Source organism: Homo sapiens, chromosome 10 (genome assembly GCF_000001405.40).
Source record: "Homo sapiens chromosome 10, GRCh38.p14 Primary Assembly".
Lineage (NCBI taxonomy): Eukaryota > Metazoa > Chordata > Mammalia > Primates > Hominidae > Homo > Homo sapiens.
Window position 1 is genome coordinate 15,282,792 of NC_000010.11, and position 22,716 is coordinate 15,305,507.

Sequence of the window (22,716 nt, forward strand, 5' to 3'; positions counted from 1 at the left end):
GACTCGACTCTAATGTTCCCTTGGATATAACTTAGTAAAGGCCACCTGTCCTGTTGTGTGGGCTCTCCTGGGGTCCTGTCTCAGGCCCACTGTCCTCCACCCTCTGCTGGAGATAATAGTTAACACTGCTGATAAGCCAAACTAAACCTCTAGCCCAGATCTCTCTCTTGAACCCCAAGTTCATTTCAAACTAAAGGCCGAATATGCTCACTTGGTGTCCCAGCAGCAATTTGAACTAAATATACCCTAAACTTAGCTTATAATCAATGACTGCGACACCCATTCCTCTCCTCCCATTTCCCCAAAGCTCTGTCCATCTTTGCCTAAGCCTAGGGAGAGGGAGTTACAGAGGGAGGGAGGGAGTGAGGGAGGAGACTTCTTTAATTCACACCATCAGTGCAATCAACTTTAGGAAAACGTGGTGTGGCCAGATACCCACCTCCACAGCTTGCCCCTGCTGGGACCAACTGCTCTGTCACCAGCTGAAAACCCGAAGTCCAACTCACATTCCTTCTATTTCATCCTTTTCCTTCCCTCTCTCCTGTCCATTCTCCAAGACCTGCTTAATATCTCTCAGGTTTATCCCCTTTTCTTATGAACTCTCCTAGATGATCTCCATTGTATCTGTATCAAATCCACTTTCCATAGATCAAAAAGCAGTGGCCTCAAGCTTTGCTAAATATTTTTATTCACAGTATCTGGTGGAGGGGGAGAGGCGTTTGCTCGTTAAAATGCAAATTCCCCTCCCCATATTGAATGGTGGAGTTCTGGAATCTGTATGTTTTTATTTATTTTATTTCATTTTATTCTTGAAGCAGGGTCTTGTTCTGTTGCCCAGGCTAGACTGCAGTGGTGTCACCATGGCTCACTGCAGTCTCGAACTCCCAGAATCAAGCAATCCTCCCACCTCAACCTCTTGAGTAGCTGGGACTACAGGTGCACACTATGATGCCTGGCTAATTTTAAATTTTTTTGTAGAGATGCAGTCTCACTATGTTGCCCAAGCTGGTTTCAGACTCCTGGCCTTATGCGATCCTCCCACCAGCCAATGCCCTCTGTGTTAAAGAAAGATGAGGAACGCCTTACCAGGTAACCGGATTGGCTTCCATGGGGCAGAGTTTGGCACGTAGGCATGCTTCGAGGCGGTGACAATCAACTGACTGCCCAGCTTATACTGGAACTTGATAAAGGCGACGCCATCAGTCCCCGAGGTGCCAGAGGCTATGGAGGCCTGGTTGGTGAAGATCTCGATGAGCGCATCTGCTACGGGCTGGTGGGTGCTGGCGTCGCTGATGTGCACCTTTAACGTCACCTCTGGAGGTAGAGAAAGCACAAAGAACAGCTACTGTCAATGGGAAACATTCATAGCAACTCTGGTATGACTGTGATGGGAAGTGGAAGGAGGGCTCTGTAAGGACATCAAGGTTGACACTCAAAATATGCAGTTTTTACCAGAGACATTTTCTCCTTACAGGTCTACTTTTTACTTCACACAATTTCCCATTTTCTTCAAAACCACAGCCTGACCCAAACTGCTTTCTTCTTTACTACTGCCTGCTCAAATCAACAAATGATCAAGAGAAAAATTCTATACTTTTAAACATTGGGCAACCAATGCAATACTTCGTGTGTGTGTGTGTGTGTGTGTTTTGAAACAGTCTCACTCTGTTGCACAGGCTGGAGTACAGGTGCGTGATGATGGCTCACTGCAGTCTCGATCTCCTGGGCTCAACTGATCCTCCCACCTCAGCCTCCTGAGTAGCTGGGACTACAGGTGTGTGCCACCACACTGAGCTAATTTTTGTAGAGATGGGGTTTTGCCATGTTGCAAAGGCTGGTTTCAAACTCCTGAGGCTCAAGCGATCTGCCCGCCTCAGGCTCCCAGAGTGCTGAGGTTACAGGTGTGCCCCACCGTGCCCAGACAACAATACTCTTTCAATGGTGTTTGGGCTACCACAGTAAGGGCACAGTGGGCCATGGTATTTGCAAGCTGCCGTATCCTTCTCTAGTCCTGGGAAATGTGGCAGAAGTAACCCAGGATTGTGCACTGGTAATCACAAAGGCTAGACTGAAAAGAAGTGAAAACTATTGTTAAAAGGGAGGACCCAAAGAGTAGAACAAGAGAAGGTTAGAAAAAGAATAAAAAAAAAAAAAAGCAAACGTTTGAAAAGACAGATGAAGTCAAGTTAGGAATATTGGCAAAAACAGATCATGAATCTGGGAAACAAACAGAATGTTACAAATTGCTAAAAAATTAAAATAGAATGGCTAATTTACATTTACTCAGGCAAGGGATAGTTACCGAACTTTTACTCTGTGCCTAGAATTGTAACTACACAGCTACAGTGAAGGAGAGGATGCGTGAGTAAACAGGAAAGTACCATGGCTGAGGGGGAACAGCATGTGTGGAGGCTTAGAGGCAGGAAGACGCCATGTTTCCTGGAGAAACAATGGCAGGTTCTGAAAGCTGGATGGAGAGCGTGAGAGGCGTAGGAGGCTGGAGAGGCAAGTAAGGCCAGATCACACATGGCTTTATGAGCTCCGTAAAAGGATTATTCTTTATTCTAAAGGCAATGGGAAGTCACAAAGGTTTTAAGAGGGGAGTGGAGATCAAATTTATGTTACAGAAACATGTGGCTCTGGGTGAAGAATGGGCTGAGGAAGAGGCAAGGCTGGAGAATAAGCATTCAATTAAGAGGACTCTGTGATAACCCAGAACTGAGATGGTGGTAGACCAGACTCCAGCAGAACTATCACGTCAAGGGTGCTGATTCCAGAACTATGTGGGGGAGCAACTCAGAAGTGCATCCTGCTCCCAGAAACCCTATTTTCTTAAGTAGGAAGCAAGCAGCTGGTGTGATGTATGTCCACCTGGTCACTTGCAGGCACCACATGCCATGCTTTTTGAGCTGCCTCTGATCTGAAAGACTTGGGATAGGAAGGTGGGGAAAGGACTAGCAAAAAGCGAGGAGGTGGCCAAGGAGGCTTGTGTTCATAGCACCTTCCAGAGTGGGGCTCAGTGGAGTGACCATCAATGAGCCGGCTGCAGGCTGGCTGGGTACAGAGCAGCCTGACAGCGAGGATGAGGAAGGAGTGCTGGGTCAGCCTTGCAGGTATTGCCCAGTGGCACACACCCTGGGGTTCTGCAATTCTCACTGGAGGTTCGAATCTCAGCTCCACCATGTGCTAGCCATGTAGCCTTGGGCAGTTTATTTATCATCTCTAGGCCCCAGTTTCCCCATTTGCTAACTGGGAATGATAAACATGCATAGCTCAACATATAGGTAGAAACATTTAGTGTAATGCCTGGTGCAGTAAGCACCGACACAAGCTACTGCAATTGTGTCATTCCAATCATGATGCTTGTAAACATTCCAACATGGTGCTTGGGGATACCAGATTTGGGGCTCAGAGAGGAGAGTTAGAAAGAAGAAATATATAAAACAAAAGGGACAGGTGAGACAACCCTCTCAGAGAGTATTAATACCTTTGTTTGTTTGTTTGTTTAGATGGAGTTTCATTCTTGCCACCCAGGGTGGAGTGCAATGGCATGATCTCAGCTCACTGTAACCTCTGCCTGCTGGGTTCAAGCAATTCTCCTGCCTCAGCCTCCCGAGTAGCTGGGATTACAGGTGCCCGCCACGATGCCCCACTAATTTTTTGCACTTTTAGTAGAGACAGGGTTTCACCATGTTGGCCAGGTTGCTCTTGAACTCCTGATGTCAGGTGATCCACCCACCTCGGGCTCCCAAAGTGCTGGGATTACAGGCATGATCCACCGCGCCTGGCCTGAGTATTAACATCTTTATATCCAGAGCTCTATCCTACACTGGGGCAACCATATAGAGAAGAACTTCTTTTGGTTTGAGAATCTCCACCTTGGTAACTTGCCAACTAGCTGTCTCATGATACTAAAGCAGTCTTTTCAATACTGCAAATTTCAGTTAGTCAATCATCTTTCACCCATTTTTTCCACATGCTGATTTAATACATTTCTTGAGTAGATAACCATAGACAAGAGCTAAAGAATCCTAGACCTAGCTAAATCATTCACCTGCCTTTGAGGAGCTCTGAGCTATGGGTGTGTACCAAATAAATCTCTTAAAATGTTTTAGCAAGAACAAATAAATGCTACAGAAACCAATCTTGGCTACTTCATACTATAGGAGAAAACTAACATCCAAAAAGGGACAAATCAGCATCATGAAAATCAAGGATATGATATTACAGAATACATTTAGTCAATTCACTTCAATCCAATCAGGATGTGCACGACACATACACACACATTTTCTTCTTCTTTTTTTTTTTTTTTTTTGAGATGGAGTCTCACTCTGTTGCCCAGGCTAGAGTGCAGTGGTGCGATCTCGGCTCACCGTAAGCTTCGCCTCCCGGGTTCACGCCATTCTCCTGCCTCAGCCTCCCGAGTAGCTGGGAATACAGGCACCCGCCACCACATCCGGCTAATTTTTTGTATTTTTTAATAGAGACAGGGTTTCACCGTGTTAGCCAGGATGGTCTCCATCTCCTGACCACGTGATCTGCCCACCTCAGCCTCCCAAAGTGCTGTGATTACAGGTGTGACCCACCGCGCCGGCCTCTTTTTTTTTTTTTTTAGACAGAGTTTCGCTCTGTCCCCAGGCTGGAGTGCAGTGGCGCGATCTTGGCTCACTGCAACCTTTGCCTCCCAGGTTCAAGCGATTCTCCTGCCTCAGCCACCAGAGTAGCTGGGACTACAGGCGCCTGCCACCACGCCCACCTAATTTTTGTATTTTTAGTAGAGACGGGCTTTCACCACGTTGGCCGGGATGGTCTTGATCTCTTGACCTGGTGATCTGCCCGCCTTGGCCTCCCAAAGTGCTGGGATTACAGGCGTGAGCCACCGTGCCTGGTTCCCCCACACACATTTTCTTATTTAACTTGGTCCTCTGTGTCCCCAAGTAGTATACTATTCCTCTTATAAATTTTAAATTTTTATTTATTTATTTCCGTAGGTTTTAGGGGAACAGGTGGTGTTTGGTTACATGAGTAAGTTCTTTAGCGGTGATTTCTGAGATTCTGGTGCGCCCATCACCCAAGTAGTGTACACTGTACCCAATGGGTAGTCTTTTATCCCTCACCCTCTCCCACCCTTTTCCCTGAGTCCTCCAAATCCACTGTATCATTCTTTATGTCTTTGCATCCTCATAGCTTAGCTCCCACTCAGGAGTGAGAACAAACGATGTTTGGTTTTCCATTCCTGAGTTACTTCACTTAGAATAATGGTCTCCAATTCCTTCCAGGTTGCTGCAAATGTAATTATTTCATTCCTTTCATGGCTGATAAGTATTCCATAGTATATATATACCACATTTTCTTTATCCACTCATTGACTGACGGGCATTTGGGCTGGTTTCATATTTTTTGCAATTGCAAATGGTGCTGCTATAAACATGCATATGCAAGCATCTTTTTCACATAATAACTTTTTTTGTTCTGGGTAGATACCGGTAGTGGGATTGATGGATAAAATGGTAGTCCTTTTTTTTTTCATAGGTTTTTGGGGAGCAGGTGGTATTTGGTTACATGAGTAAGTTTTTTAGTGGTGATTTGTGAGATTTTGGTGTACCCATCACCCGAGCAGTATACACTGAATCCAGTGTGTAGTCTTTACCTAAGTAGTATACTAAATTATAACATAAATTAACTCATGGTGCATTAATAACCACATAGCAGAAATCCTGCATTGATGATTTATGCAATTTTATGGAAATGCAACATTTACTAACAATTGGGATTACAAGGTCTTCACTGTTTGCTAAGAAGGCAAAAACTGCTGAGATTTGAGGGAAAAGAAGATTTATGAATAAACAGAGAAAGGCGGAGTTCCACTCTAATCAACACCCTAGATTCTACCACTTGAATTTCTTCTAATATGGGAAGGATAGTTTAAGTTCTACAATTATATACGTTAAAAGAGATTGTTTAGTTCTTCGCTTGGTATGATCAGAGAGAACAAAATGTCAGTATGATTCGGTAATTCTTTTTTTTTTTTTTTTTTTTTTTTTTGAGACAGAGTCTCATTCTTGTTGCCCAGGCTGGAGTGCAATGGCACAGTCTCGGCTCACTGCAACCTCCACTTCCCGGGTTCAAGCGATTCTCCTGCCTCAGCCTCCCAAGTAGCTGAGATTACAGGCTTGCGCCATCACGCGTGGCTACTTTTGTATTTTTAGTGGAGACAGGGTTTCTCCATGTTGGTCAGGCTGGTCTCAAACTCCTGACCTCAGGTGATCTGCCTGCCTTGGCCTCCCAAAGCACTGGGATTACAGGTGTGAGCCATCACACCCGGCCTGATTCGGTAATTCTTACAGCCCACAGGGGCATCATCGTTATAGAATAACACTGAGAATGGGACTCTCCATTCAACCGCAAACAAAACTATCCCTAACTAAATGACAACCAGGGCAGCTGTCATCTGACTAGGCAAGGCATTAGTTACTACATGACTCTCATTTATAGGAAGACCCCATAAACGGTCCCAGACCTAAATATGCCCTAGGGTGCACTCTTTGCTGCTCAGTGAGTACTGAGGACCCCGCTGAGTTGGTCACCTGAAGACTGCACAAAACCCAGACTGGGACATCCTTTTCTCACTCCATACCCTGCACATCCATCACCAAAGTCTGCTCATTTTGACTGCAAACTCTGCATCTCAAAGCAGGCCTTTCTTTTGTACCCTCGTGAACACTGCCCTATTTCCAGGCCTTCACCATCCATCACCCACACTGCTGCTCAGCAACTTTACCAAAACAGTCACCCTCTTCAGACCTGAGCCCTGAGATCCCACTGAGGCTGGAGGGAGCTATCCAATACACTCAGCTGACCTCTCCCTGTCTCCCTCAAACCCTTCGATGCGTCCCCACTGTCACCTGTACCAGGTGCAGCAACTTCGGCCTGCCCTCAGGCCAAATGTGGCCTGCTGCCTGCTTTTGTATACAGTCCATGAAAATTATCTGCAATTTAAATTTCAGTGTCTATAAAGTTTTATTGGAACACAGCCACGCCCCATCATTTGCATGGGCTGGTTTTGCATTACAACAGCAGACTTTAGAAGTTGCCACGGAGACCATAAGGGCTGCAAAGCCTGAACTCACTACTTTTGGCCCTTTAGAGAAAAAGGAAGGCCATGTGGCTCACGCCTGTAATCCCAGCACTTTGGGAGGCCGAGGCGGGCGGGTCACGAGGTCAGGAGTTTGAGACCAGTGCGGCCAACATAGTGAAACCCCGTCTCTACTAAAAATACAAAAATTAGCTGGGTGTGGTAGTACACGCTTGTAGTCTCAGCTACTTGGGAGGCTGAGGCCGGAGAATTGCTTGAACCCAGGAGGCAGAGGTTGCAGTGAACCGAGACCACGCCATTGCACTCCAGCCTGGATGACAGAGTGAAAAAAAAAAAGCCACCACACTCAAGGGACAGGATCCATCCCAGAAGCCTCCTGTCCTGCACCAGCCACCCCACCTGACCCCATCCCCTGCCCTCGGCTCCTCCTTCCTGTTCCTTCCTGCCACAGCTTATTGCCTTTGAAGGCAATGTTTTTCTACACTTCCCTTCCATGTTGCTAATTCCTCTTTTTCCTTTAAAAGGCTGCAGTAAGGTGGATTCAAGAAAGTACTCTGGCCGGACTCAGCAACCCTGCATTTCCCTGAAGCTCTCCAGACACATGGTCTCTGTTTCTTGTCCATTTCCATTTCTGTCTGTTTCACCTTGGGCCAACTGTGGGGGTGTACAACAGAGACCAGACCCCTGACCCTCAGGAGCTTTAGCTTTATTGATTAAATACATACTGAAGTGTCATTCTGAACTGGAAGAAGTGCCCCAAGGAAAACTGGGTGACACAAGGCAGAACGGGGAACCTATTTTCAACTGGGTGGTCAGGGGAGGCCTTCTTGAGGAGGTGTCATTTTAGCTTAGGCCTGGAGGAGACACAGGGACCAGCCAGGCAAAGGGGTGTCCTGAGATGAGAACGACCAGGTTGTTTACCACTGAATTAAAACTCCCACGGAGAGAGCTTTGTGCAGGGGCCCTTGTGACTGAAGATGAGGGGTCTGGGCCACCCATGTACCGCCGTTTTGTTTTGTTTAGAGTCTTAGCTTACTACAGGCTTGACCTCCCAGGCTCAAGCGATCCTCTCACCTCAGCATCCCAAGTAGCTGGGACCACACGCATGCACCACCACATCCAGCTAATTTTTGTATTTTTGTAGAGACAGGGTTTTGCCCTGTTGCCCAGGCTGGTCTCAGACTTCTGGGCTCAGGCGATCCTCCTGCCTCAACCTCCCAAAGTGATGGGATTATAGGCATGAGCCACCACGTCCGGCCATACCACTATTTTAGAGGGTCTGGGGTGGCCCATGAGCCCCTCAAGAATAGGGGCTTATTTTTAAAAAATTCAATTTATAACTGTGAGGCCTAGCTGGTACCTAGAGCCAGCAGGTGGTCAATAAAAGTTTGCAAAATGAATGCTGGGGTGAAACTAACCATCTCTTAACACAACACTACCTGATATAGGGGCCATCAGCCACATGTGAGCATATACACTTGTTTAAATTAATTAAAATTAAATTAATTTAAAAATCGAGCTCCTTGGTAACACTAGGCTCATTGTAAGCGCTCAACAGCCGTGACTGGCTAGCGGTTCCTGCGTCGGAGAGTGCAGACTGGATATTTCTATCATTGCAGAAAGTTCCTTTGGACAATTCTGATCTCCGAATCTGAGTCAAGAAATCCATGGTATCCAAATGGCTCAATGAACTCCCAAGGAAAATCTACCTGAGCGTGACTCTGAAGTGGTGTCTTCACAGCCCTTGTGGATCAGGCCTTCACTCAAGTCCTTCAGTGGCTTAAAAGGCCCTGTTTGATCTCTTCCCACCCCTCCTCCCCAGCTGTATCACCTCCTGCCCTCACTTGCTAAACTTTCCCCATTCAGGGACTTGCAGGGAGGCCAGGTACGGTGAACGTGCTCTGCTCCAATTGTGCCCTGGCCTGGCGCACTCTCCCCCAGATACCCAGCCATGCGGCTGAGACCCACACCTCCCTGTCTTTGTTTCAGTACCACCTCCTTGATGAGGCTATCCTATCACTGTCACTCTTTTTTAAAAATTTTCAACATGGAAATTCTAGAATGCATATATTTTAGTCTGTTTAGCCTGCTATAACAAAACCCCATAAACTGGGAAGCTAAAAAACAACAGGAATGTATTTCTTAAGTTCAGGTAGCTGGTTAGTCCAAGGTTAGGGCAGATTAGGTATCTGGTGAGGGCTCACCTTTTCACTGCATCCTCACGTGGTGGAAGGGATGAGGGGGCTCTCTGGGGTCTCTCAAGCACACTAATCCCATGCACAATGGCTCCCCCCTCATGACCTGATGTCCTCCCAAAAGACCCCACCTCCTAATACCTTCACCTTGGGGGTTAAGATTTCCATATGTGAACTTGAGGGGAAAACAAACTTTCAGAACACAGAAACATAAAAGTAGAAAGAACAGTACAAGGACCTTCCTCCCAAACCTGTCCTGATAGGAAGTTTCAAATAGTGTCATCTTTCTGCCATTCTTTCTTTCATGCATTGCTCCCACCATCCCCACTTTTTTGCTGAAACATTTTGAAGCAAATTCCAGATATCATATTAGGTTATATTATTTCCCTGGAAATTTTTTGCTGTTGTTTTTTGAGACAGGATCTGGCTCTATTACCCAGGCTAGAGTGCAGTGGCACGATCTTGGCTCACTGTAACTTCCCCAACCCGGGCTCAAGTGATCCTCCCACCTCAGCCTCCCATGTAGGTGGGATTACAGGGACATGCCACCACCATGCCAGGCTAACTTTTTATATTTTTAGCAGAGATGCGGGTTTTGCCACATTGCCCGGGCTGGTCTTGAACTCCCGGACTCAAGCAATCCACCCGTCTCGTCCTCCCAACATGCTGGGATTACAGGGGTGAGCCACTGCACCGACCACCATAAATATTCCCACTTAAAACAGATAAGGATTTCTTTTAAACCACCACCAAAACACAATTATCATGCCTAACTAAAGTAATAATCTCCTTATATCATCTAATACCCAGCACTTATTCAATTTTTTTTGATTACCTAAAAACATTTTTAAAAATAATTCTTACTATTCTGTCTAAAACGTCGATCCCAGCCTCACCCCAAATTTCTGATATTCTCCTGCTCTGCTTCTGCTTTTTATGCGTGACATTGATTAATTATAACATGCTCATAACTCATATGTTTATTATTAAACTCTACCAGATGGAAACTTTGAGACAGTTATTTTGTGTTTCTGTTTTCTTCTTCATTCACACATCCTAAGCATATAGAATAATGTCTGGCACACAGTAGTCACCTAATGTAGATGCTGAATTAATCTCTAAAACGAGTAGGCATTTCTGGGTATCTTCTGATCCATGGCCTAAGTATTCCTGGTATTTTGTTGTTGTTCCATTTATTTCTTATAACTACTTTAAAAATAGATAATATAGAGATCTATTTGAAAAGTATTAATCAATCCATGTAACTAACTGTAAATAATCAGAAAATATTTATTGACCAGCTGCTATATGCTTAGCATGATACAAGGTACTGCAGGGAGATTAAAAAAGAAGGAGAAAAAAAGACATGCCTCCTGTTTTTAAGGAGTTTACGGTTTTGCGGGGAGGAAAGACCAACAAATGTGCCAGAAAGCAAAAAGAATGAAACTGGCTAGGAACCTGTAAAAAAAAAATATATATATATATAGCAAAGATGAGGTTAATCTGATTTGGAGTTTCCATGCAAAAACAGAATCAAAGATGCAAACAAGATCTGAATGCATTCATAGAGGTGGGGGGGATCATCAAAAGATTTAAGGAAGGGTATGGTGTGAACACTGATACTATGAAGGGTCGTGGCTATCTGGGTACTCACTGCATGCAAACTGGCCCTGATTGTGGTTTACGGAGGTCAGGGAGGAATAATGCTTCTTGGAAGAGATGAAATTGAAGCTGGTGCTGGAAGGGTGGGTACCACGGGCAGATGAGTCTTTGTGGCACCTTCTGAAATAGTCTTCCTCCCTTTGAGGAATACCAGATGCTCATTTTCCCAGCCTCCCCTGTAGCTAAGAAGGAGAAAAAATGGGCTGCGGTTCTGCTAAGCTGTGGCTCTGCTCATTCTGGTTGGCAGAATTTGATGTGGAAGTCAGCAGCATGAAGAAGCAGGGCCTTTTTCTGGCCAAAGGGACCGCAGAGGAGGCATCTGGTTGGGAGCAGCAGGGGTGCTCCCGGAAGAGTCACACCACACAGCTCAGACACTGTTCTGGCTGTGAGCCTCCTCCTCCCACAAGTTCTGTGTGCTACCCAAAAGCTGTAATAAATGTCTTTTCTCATTAAACCAGCTAGATGGGCAGTGCTGCTTGCCCTGCTCGGGTTCTGTGCTATCCTGGCATGATTCTATCTAGCTGGGGACCATCTCTTTGAAACTGCACCTCATGGCTCTCCTTCCACCGTGCACCTTCCTTCTCAGTACCCACCATGGGCTCCAGTTCTGTCTGCCTGCCCAAGGTCGTGGACCCCGGGAGTGTGTGCTCACACCTCTTCTTGCTACACACTCTCATCCATGAATTTATTTCACCATCAGGAATTCAGCCATCGCCTCTAGCATATTCTTCAATTTTTATCAGCCAATTGCAGAGCCAAGGAGGAAGAAACGAGCGCTCAGGAATTCTTCCCCTACCACGATTCAGAGCTCCTCTGCTCTTGGCAAACATGAAGAGTGTGGCTCTGTGGGCACAAACTGGTCCATTTTAAGTAGTACAAAGAGCATCTGCTTTGTGGGTAGAAAACTAAACATCATCTTTCAGTCCAGCATTATCTTTTAGTCATTTCCTTTCTAACTGCCACAGATTTAGAACTAAATGCGACAAGGCTGTTTCCAATTGTTGGCTTGGGAGGAGGCTCCTCTAAGTAGCGAGTTAAGAGTGAACAAGAGGAAGGAATTAGGGTGCATAATTTACAGGCACATGGAAGAAGCTCCCTGTCGGTATTTGACAAAACTGCCGACAAACTTTGAGGGACCATCTGAAGGCATGCCTTGTTTTTTGTTTTTGTTTTGTTTTGTTTTTTGAGACAGAGTTTTGCTCTTGTTGCCCAGGCTGGAGTGCAGTGGCGCGATCTCGGCTCACTGCAACCTCCACCTCCAGGGTTCAAGCAATTCTCTTGCCTCAGCCTCCTAAGTAACTGGGATTACAGGCACCTGCCACCATGCCCAGCTAACTTATTTTTTATTTATTTTTATTTTTTTATTTTTAGTAGAGGCGGGGGTTTCACCATGTTGGCCAGACTGGTCTTGAACTCCTGACCTCAGGTGATCCACCTGCCTCGGCCTCCCAAAGTGCTAGGATTATAGGCGTGAGCCACCACGCCCGGCCAGCATGCCTTGTTTTTAATCCCCACTTTGTCAAATAATGCATACCTTTTGTTATTTTTCTATAAACGATAGGATGCATTTAGTTTATAACTTTGCCTCCAAATTCCAAAACATGTACTATTCCAAAACATAAAATCTTTTATGGTTTTTCTGGCACCAGAGCTGGGAGTACAGCTTCCACCTGCTTTCTGCACAGTCTGCCCTTCTCATTTCTCATATTTATTCTAACAAACTCTGGCCCTATCTTAAAAGGGAAAGTAAAGTTTGTGGGCTCCATTTTTTAAATTTGTTTCATTTGTTTGTTTCTGTGAAGTTTTTGGCTTCCTCTTAACCGCTTTTCATTCCCTTTTCTATTTCCTCAAATTGGCCTTTGTTCTGGGATTTTCATTTTTTCTTTCCTTTTGGTTTTTAGAGCTGTTGGTTTCCACAGCAACTCACCCTAGTAGTGGGGAACCCAGCATTTTATGGGCTGGCCACTGGGTCTGGGTAGAAGAAAGGCCCATTCCCACCAAGCAGGCCATGCAAATGCTCTCACCCCAAGTAGCCCAGCACTCCTGTGGCTGCCTGGGCCAGGGAGGCCAGCTGAAAAGGAGCCTCTCTCCTTAGCACCATGATTAGCTACATTTAACCCCAATTTAGGGGAGTTACGACGGCTTTTCATCTCTTAAATAGAACACCAGAAAACTGCTTGATCACTTAAAAACATTTTCCAAATAGGAGGTTATTGTAAAAATGTTACCTGACCTTTGCTCTACGAGGTTTTGCCCCATGTTACTTGGTGTTAGAATTTTACAATATCAGCATGTGCATTGAATTTCCATGTCTTTATAAAGCATGTTCCAGGATGCCTAATGCGTGAAGGGGTGGCTTTCTATTTATACTTCTTTTATAAACATAGAGGTTTTCCTGTGTAATCTGATGAAATTAGGATGCACTCTGTTACACTGGAGTTTTCATGTAATTTTTTCCAGACTCACATAGTGCACATGCACCTTGTATTATTCTATTTTATTTTCTACCCAAAATTTAGCCAATCATGTCATCCAAGGAAATTATATTTATATATTTTAAAGTATAATCTATATGTTATGTAACATATAACAGATTATTTAATATGTATCTCATAATATATCATATACTTTATTAATCTATATAGAATACATCTCAATAAGAATCTGTTACAACTTGTACATTTGAGGACTCCCTTATATGCAATTTCTAGCTGCACTAAAGCATTTGGCAATCCTTGTGTGTGTTTAATTCTGAAAACAACATTCAGTTTGATGTTCCTCCGCAAAGACCAAGACTACTGTCATCCAGAAGAGAAAGGACTGTGCAGGCATACTTCAGAGAGACGAATACGCTGGGCACTAGAACCCCCCCTAGCTTCCTGGGTCCCCTCTCCACGTAGGCACCTTTCACTCTTGATTGTACCAAGAGGTGCCCTGAACCTCACTATGGATCTGCGGCCCCAGTGTCTGATACAGAATCCCCACCTATGTGGGGTTCTTTTTTTGAAACATGTTCCTTAGATTTCAGTGGAAGTTTACAGTCTCTAGACATCCATTTGAATGACCTCATTGGAGACGCATGGAAGAGAAAAATCTGCTGGAACTTAGAGTACCACTGTGTGCCTTTCTGTGTTCTATCATCTCAGGCAACTGATGCTTATGTTAAACCTCGTGAAAAGGCAGCCATGTGGTAGACTCGACAGCTACAGCTTCAGTTTGAAATAGGATGAGAAGAGACCACAGTACAGTGCTATTTACACTGGTGGCTCCTACCGGCTGCTCATCCTCTGAAGGGCGTGTATTAGAGCTTTTTTTCTTTTTTTTTTTTGAGATGGAGTCTTGTTGTGTCACCCAGGCTGGAGTGCAGAGACACGACCTTGGCTCACTGCAACCTCTGCCTCCCAGGTTCAAGAAATTCTCCCTACCTCAGCCTCCCAAGTAGCTGGGATTACAGGAGCACACCACCACGCCTGGTTAATTTTGGTATTTTTAGTAGAGACGGGATTTTGCCATGTTGCCCAGGCTGGTCTCAAACTCCTGACCTCAAGTGGTCCACCCACCTCGGATTCCCAAAATGCTGGGATTACAGGCATGAACCACCGCACCTGGCTGCCATCACAGTCTTGATAGAACTTACACATAACGTACTCTTTCTCACCCCAATCCCTGCATCTCTCTATCCCTCTAATGCATAAACTTCTGTCTTGGCAGTGCTACCAGGATATCTCTGGGCAAACAATCAGTGGATTTCTGCTGCTTCCCATAAGAAATTTGTATGAGGATCAAATTGATGATCCTCCCATTAACAACACTTAACAACCAACAGCACCATGTTGCCAAGAATGGTGAAATATACAATAACAAATATTCATAGAAGTTCAGCAATTAAAGAGATCATGTTAGATACATATAGACATACTCTGATTTTCTACTTTATTTGAGTGATGGGACATCTTTCCCTCAATTTAAACACTCTGTAATGGAAATCGAAAATACGAACTATCTCCCACAGCTTTGTGGCTAAGAATCCTGTTACCCTAATAAGTTAAACAGCAGAAGTTCATTCTCTATTACTGGACCCGGTACAAAATGAGGTTTTCTAGGGCTGGTTCCATATGCATATAATGCTAGAAGAGCTACTATAAAATAGCTATGTTCTTGTAACTAATCAAGGGTTATTTAGGGAAATATACCAGGATAATTTGAAAACTGTTGCTGGACTTACCTGCTCCAACTGTACAACTTACACATACAACCAAGTGTTCAAAAGCAAAATTAATGTTCACAAGCAAAATTAACAGAATCTTCCTACAATCTCATCTAAAAAAGTTATCTCATGAGATATACATTTGACAGCAAAACTCCCAATCTTCTTTTTTTTTTTCTTTTTCTTTTTTGAGATGGAGTTTCACTCTTGTCACCCATGCTGGAGTTCAATGGCACAATCTTGGCCCTCTGCAACCTGCAACCTTCGCCTTCCAGGTTGAAGCGATTCTCCTGTCTCAGCCTCCCCAGTAGCTGGGCTTCCAAGTACCTGCCACCACACCCGGCTAATTTTGTATTTTTAGTAGGGACAGGGTTTCACTGTGTTGGCCAGGCTGGTTTCAAACTCCTGACCTCAGGTGATCCGCCTGCCTCGGCCTCCCAAAGTGCTGGGATTACAGGCGTGAGCCACCACACCCGGCCATGAATCAACCAGTCTTCTTGATGTAGTATCAGAAATACTTAGATGTAGCTTTAAAGGTCTATATGAAAATAGGATTACTGTACTTATCTCGGGAAACTTCTCCAAAATATTTAAACTAATTTAAAATAAAAGAATGTAACTGTTCGAAAGAAATAAGAATCGAAGCACCAAAACGATGCTACATATGGCTCCAAAAAACAAAAGCAAAAGCCATAGTTCCAACTTTTAAGAACTTTTCCATAAGAAGCAATGTATATCCATAAAGCTAATATCTTCACTTTTCTCAGATATGGTAAAGTATCTAGTGACTATACCACGGAAATGTAAATATGGAAAATGCATTTACTGAGCTTCATACAATACCCTGCTCCACTGAACAAGAAAATGATGGTGATGCAACACTGTGGTGACCAGAGGACCCACAAGGATTTCTAAAGAAATCCCCACAACAAGCCACCCCAACATGCTTCTGTTTCATTGGTATTTTATTTACTTATTTGTGTTGGGACAGAGTCTCACTCTGTTACCCAGGCTGGAGTGCAGTGGCATGATCTCGGCTCACTGCAACCTCTACCTCCCAGGTTCAAGTGATGCTCCTGCCTCAGACTCCTGGGTAGCTGGGATTACAGGCACGCACCACCACGCCCGGTGAATTTTTGTATTTTTAGTAGACAGGGTTTCGCCACGTTGGCCAGGCTGGTCTCAAACTCCCGACCTCAGGTGATCCGCCTGCTTCAGCCTTCCAAAGTGCTGGGATTACAGGTGTGAGCCACCGCGCCAGGCCAGTTTTGTTGATATTTTAAATTTTTCATGAAGGCACAAAGTCCCCTTATGAGAATCTGGAAGAATCTGGGAACTGCTTAGTTAATGAGCAGTATTAAGCATGTCTATGAAATTAATGTACACACCTTTGCCAGCTTCAAAGATCTGTTGGAAGGCACCAGTGGAACGGTTGCCAAGGCAACCTAAACTGGTGGGGGAAAGATTCTGTGTGTCTTGGGTGTTTCCAGGTCTGTCTTTATCTATAGATATGCATTTACAGTTTTTGTTTTTGTTTTTTTTGTTTTTTTGTCTAGGGCTTAGGGCTGGGACAAGAGCAAAATTACATACCTGTTTTGAAAAAGCAGCTTTAAGATGACGATGATGATGATGACTTTTAGCAAGTCATTACTCTCTCTGGGAAGAGACCAGTTAGAAAGTGCTACGTGGGAGCCAGTAGTGAAGAAACTGACTCATTAATTATTTTAGAATTAAAAAAAAATGGGCCGGGTGCGGTGGCTCATGCCTCTAATCCCAGCACTTTGGGAGGCGAGGTGGGCGGATCATGAGGTCAGGAGATTGAGACCATCCTGGCTAACACGATGAAACCCTGTCTCTCCTAAAAATACAGAAAATTAGACGGGCGTGGTGGTGGGTGCCTGTAGTCCCAGCTACTTGGGAGGCTGAGGCAGGAGAATGGTGTGAACCCGGGAGGCAGAGCTTGCAGTGAACCGAGCTAGCCTGGGCAACAGAGTGAGACTCCATCTCAAACAAACAAACAAACAAACAAACAAAAAAGGGCAAAAAGGCAAGCTGAAGGGGCTTGCTGGAAAACTATGGATGGCCTAAGTGTGTGAAGCTCTCTGACACTTGAAGTATTACAAAACAAGACAAAGGTCCCTGGAGCAGCTGAAGTTTAGTCAGTGCGGTGCTTAAATCATATACATATGGGCTTATCTTTTCCAAGAAAGATATTCAACAAGCTACAGTGAAGCTATTATTAAAGTTTTCTTTTCTGTTTCAGATGAAGCTGAAATATTTTAGGGCACTTTAGCATTTACATTACAAATATTCCTCCTGAGGAGTGGGCACAGAATGCACATTTCACGACCACATGGTCTGGGGCTGGTTTCTAGGCTCCTCACTTAACCAGTCACGTGGTCTTGGCCAAGTTCACAGCCTCCTTGACCTGTCATTTCTGTGTCCAGAAAATATGGATACCAACTTCTTGAAAACACTGTAAGATTGGTGGGTGGACTGCCTGGTGACTTTGTGAGGTGCCTGCTAGCAACAAAAGTATTCCTGATCTTTCCCCACCTGCAAGCATTCCACTAACTTTATTTGGTGAAACAAAATCTCCAAAGCACCCTTTCCCCCTAAAAGCTTCTCAGTTAAGAACCCCCTCCCACCCCCCAAAAAAAATAAACAAAAAAAAAACTAGAAAAAGATAGTATGCTATTCAGAGTGCCGGGCTTTGGACTGACAACCTAGAGTTGATGGTCATCTTTGCCCTTTCTGGCTTACTGCTCTGAAGCAGAGTTTTCTCATCTGTAAGAAATGGGGTAGTGGCCCTGCCCATAATAATCTCATGGAGCTCTAGTGAGATCTCAAGGGTACAGTGCTTCCCACACACTGCAGCTGTGCACAGTGAGAGCTTAATCACTGCTAGCCATTTTTATAATTAGCCGATTGTTTCCCAACATTTGACTCTTGAATGAGGATCACGAAGCGTCTACAGAAAGTTTACAAAAGACCTCCTGAGAAAGTTCACGGAAGGAGCTGACCATGCCTGGCTATGGTTCTTGGAAGATTCCTTTTTTCTCTCTCTCATACCCACTGTGGAAAATTCCCAAGGACATGGAGAGCTGGAGGAACAGCAGAAGCCATTGGCAAGACAATTCTCCATGGGTCTCTTAAGTACTTCTGCACATATTGTGGGCAAGATACTGACTGTGCTGTCTGTTCTGAGCTATCTCTTTAAGGATGTTTCTGTTTTTGAGAGACAGTCTGGCTCTATCGCCCAGGCTGGAGGGCAGTGGCGCGATCTCGGCTCACTACAACCTCTGTCTTCTGGGTTCAAGCAATTTTCGAGCCTCAGCCTCTCGAGTAGCTGGGATTACAGGCACACGCCAACATGCCCACACGCCCAGCTATATATATATATATATATTTTTTTTTTTTGTATTTTTAGTAGAGACAGAGTTTCACCACGTTGGCCAGCCTGGTCTTGAACTCCTGACCTCAGGTAATCCACCCGCCTTGGCCTCCCAAAGTGCTGGGATTACAGGCATGAGCCACCTTGCCGGGCCCTCTTCAAGGATGTTTCTTTAGTGAATAGCTATGCAAGACAGAGAAGTGTCTCCCTCTAGAGCAAAGAGCAGGCATGCTTGGTGCCTCTCGGAAAAGATAAGGGTCCCTGAAGCTCAGGGTTTCTCTCCTATAAAGTAAGCTGTTGCATGTGCAGGTATCCTCTGGCCCTCTTTGCATTGCCCTGTGGGAAATGGGGTTCAGGGAACTGGAGCAAGAATGCAGACACTCTGGCTACTACTGCTGCTCTGAGTAATAAACATCCCTTATCTCTGACCGGGAAGTATCGTGTCTCCACCAACTTCTATCAAACCATGCCAGGCTGGCTCATTAGCTTCCAAGCTCAACAGAATCTTAGACCTTTTTCATAGTTCTTAGGTCACTAAAGAACCCAAGGAACTATATGCATTATGAAGACATTTAGGCAGGAAAGGAGTGGACTACGGTCCTAGAGAAGAAATAGGGGAGTCAGAGATAAAGAAGACATAAGACAGTCCCAATTTTTGGGTAATGTCTTTTGGTTTAATGAAGTGGGTTTTCAAATTCTTAAATCACCCTTTGCTGGGGATGGCCAAGATTGCCCTTTTCCCTTAGTAAATTCTAACTATTCCTGCTCTTTACACCACACTTAGACCCCCACCTGCCAGCCACTCTGCTCCATTAGTTTAACATGTTGTTCTTGGCCAGGTGCGGTGGCTCATGCCTGTAATCCCTGCACTTTGGGAGGCCAACGTGGGTGGATCACCTGAGGTCAGGGGTTTGAGACCAGCCTGGTCAACATGGTGAAACCCGTCTCTACTAAAAATACAAAACAATTAGCTGGGTGTGGTGGCAGGCGCCTGTAATCCCATCTACTTGGGATGCTGAGGCAGCAGAATTGCTTGAACACAGGAGGCGGAGGTCGCAGTGCGCCGAAATTGCGCCACTGCACTGCAGCCTGGGCAACAAGAGCGAAACTCCATCTCAAAAAAAACAAAACAAAACAAAACAAAAAAACCCAAAACCAAAAAAAAAAAAAAAAAACCAAAAGAAACCCCATGTCATTCTAGACTGTGCCACATGGGTCCAGCCTTTCAAGAAGCAGAATCTGAAGGTTTTCCTCTCCAAGCATTAGTGAGTGTTTTGTTTGTTTTTATAGCACTGATCATCTTAGTTCCCTTTTAAACCTGAAGGGTTGCAAAGCCACATTTAGGTCATCACAAGCAGTAACCCAAGGAGCAGAATTAAAGTGATATGCTAATTAGGTTGCCAGTTGCCACTCATTTAACATTCAAAAATGTGCATGTGTTTAGTGAAATACTATTTCTGCTTTCTACATTTGACTGAATAAATTCTGTATTAATGGAACAGCATGGTAAACTATGCTGACGCCTACAAGTCATGAAACCTTAAAATGTCTTGATTAAGGCCGGGCGCGGTGGCTCACACCTATAATCCCAGCACTTTGGGAGGCCGAGGTAGGCGGATTACCTGAGGTCAGGAGTTTGAGACAAGCCTGGCCAATATGGTGAAACCCCGTCTCTACTAAAAATACAAAAATTAGCCAGGCTTGGTGGCGGGTACCTGTAATCCCAGCTACTTCGGAGGCTGAGGCAAGAGAATCGATTGAATCCAGGAGGCGGAGGTTGCAGTGAGCCAAGATCGTGCCACTGCACTCCAGCCTGGGCGACAAAAGCAAAGCTCCATCTCAAAAAAAAAGTCCTGATTTACCTCAATATTTATGAAATTTATGAAATATTTTTATAATTTATAGTTTTTATAATTATTTTTAAAATTTATAGGAGTTTTCTAAGAACTTTAAAATCACACACGATTGAAATTTCCTGCTTCATCTATGGGGGAATAAATAACTACTTTGAACAGCGCAGCACCGTTCCTGGTGATTTTTTTCCGTAGTGAACATCAGCATACGGTATTTTCCACACAGTTTAAGTTTCTAGAATGGTTCTTAGTTCGTGTCAAATGGAGGAAACTTTCATCTTTTAATCTTTATAGCTCATGTCCTGGCAGCAATGTCAATACAGGGGGCTTGACTTCCCTCTCTCGCCTGGAGAAATAAGAGTTCCAGCCACCCCTTCACTGCCATCTCAATTCATAATGCTACAACAGACAATGGGAAGTTGTTTTTTCAAGTAGCAGAACAGAGGCTCCGCCATTATTTTGTCTTACATTTACAAGTTGATGCTATTTTAAATTATCCTTCACATTGGTGTTCCTAAATGTCACCTGCCCAATGGGTCACAGACGTATATACTGTACCAAATAATCACTTGGCTCAGACCAAGAACTGAAGTTAGGAGAGTTGCAGGATCAGTGACGACGTGCCCAAGAACACCCATCAGTTAAAGGAGTTAGGAATACAAGCGTGGGCAGAAAAGTTCACGTATGAAAGAGATTAAGTCAAGTCCTAGGATGGCCCATTGCTGACCTGCCCTCCTTGTGCGGGAGCCACATGGAGAAAGTGTCGTTTGTGCCACAGGCATGCAGGGACAGGACGATTTCCCGGGGCTGATGGTGCATCTTCCCAATGGAACAAACCCAAAGAGACTGGCAATGGAGAAAAAGTTGCAGAAAGTGTCAGAAGCTTCCTCCCCAAAGGATGAAACAATGGGCTTTTGGATGTGCTATAATCCTCAACCCTTCATTCTGCAGATGAGGAACTTGAGGTTTTCATTCAAGGTTATGTAGCTACTCATAACTGAGAAGGGACCGTCATGGTGAGTAGGTATATTAATTGTGTCTTTGTGTTCTCTAATTTTGATGCTTTGACATCTTGGAGCTTTGCTGGGCATGTAGGGACTGCCCCTCCCAGCAATTACTCCTGGAGATCATAAACTACTGCTCGGTGAGCATGACTTTCACCTGCAGCCTGTCAATCCAGAGCCCACTCCCCAGCCACATCCCCTAGGGGCTCTTATATTCCAGGCCACCCTTCCCTGCCCTGATGACGCCAGGGCCAGGTACCAGTCAACTGGGGTGAGCTCCTCTGCCCCAGAACCCATCAAAATTAGTCAAATTAGCCAACCCTAAACCTGCTGCGGCCGCATACCCTGCCTTGTCCATTCCTTCCTGAAAAAACCTCAATAAAGGGTCCTGCCCACATTTTCTCCTGCTCCCTCAGCCTCCTGGCTGGCCCTGGTGTTTCTCTGTGTGGCCCTGCCTGTTATGGTGTAGCCCTCCTCTTGGGAACTGTGAGCAACTCTTCTTTTCTTTTAACTTCCCTCCCTCTCTCCCTCTCTCTCTGTCTTTTTCTCTCTTCAGAGTCTCGCTCTGTTGCCCAGGCTAGAGTGCACTGGCGCAATCTTGGCTCACTGCAACCTCTGCCTTCCAGGTTCAAGCAATTCTCCTGCCTCAGCCTCCCAAGTAGCTGGGATTCCAGGCATGCGCCACCACGTCTGGCTAATTTTTGTATTTAACAGAGATGGAGTTTCCCATGTTGGTCATGCTGGTCTCAAACTCCTGACCTCAAGTGATACGCCTGCCTCAGCCTCCTTCCAAAGTGCTGGGATTACAGGCATGAGCCACAGCACCCGGCCAAGTAACTATCTTCCCTGTAGCTGCCCATCCTCTACTGGTCTGTTGGCCTCACCACACCTGAATAATAATAAAACTTATAATTTAAAATAGTAGATGACTCAAGGTTTTCCCGGTGAAGATACGCCATGAACAAGGTACTGGTGCAGAACTAGTTTTATTTATACTTGCTGCAAGGAAGATCTTTGTAACAGTTTAGGCTGCATGAATAAACAGTAAATTCTAGATCACAGAAAATATTAATCTGGAGAGAGGAAATGTCTGGTTAGGTAAGCACAATAAAAGACTCAGTATCAGACCTGATGAACCTCTCACGTCACCTTCCCGACTCTATAATGTCTATAAAAGAACTGAATGGAGGGCTGGGTGCCATGGCTCATGCCTATAATCCCAGTAACTCAGGAGGCTGAGGTGGGAGGATTGCTTGAGGCCAGGAGTTCAAGACCAGCCTGGGTGAGACCCATCTTTACATA

The 22,716-nt window shown here is 44.9% G+C and overlaps 1 protein-coding gene across 3 annotated transcripts in view; it reads right to left on the reverse strand.

Moving 5' to 3' along the window:
• The window catches only part of FAM171A1 (family with sequence similarity 171 member A1), a 162,912-nt gene that overhangs the window by 71,149 nt on the left and 69,047 nt on the right, over nucleotides 1-22,716 (reverse strand). For all 3 annotated transcript variants that reach the window (XM_017015904.2, NM_001010924.2, XM_011519378.3), the window contains exon 2: nucleotides 1,087-1,314. In XM_017015904.2, the coding sequence (XP_016871393.1) occupies nucleotides 1,087-1,314 (228 nt within the window). The remainder of the gene's footprint in view (nucleotides 1-1,086; nucleotides 1,315-22,716) is intronic.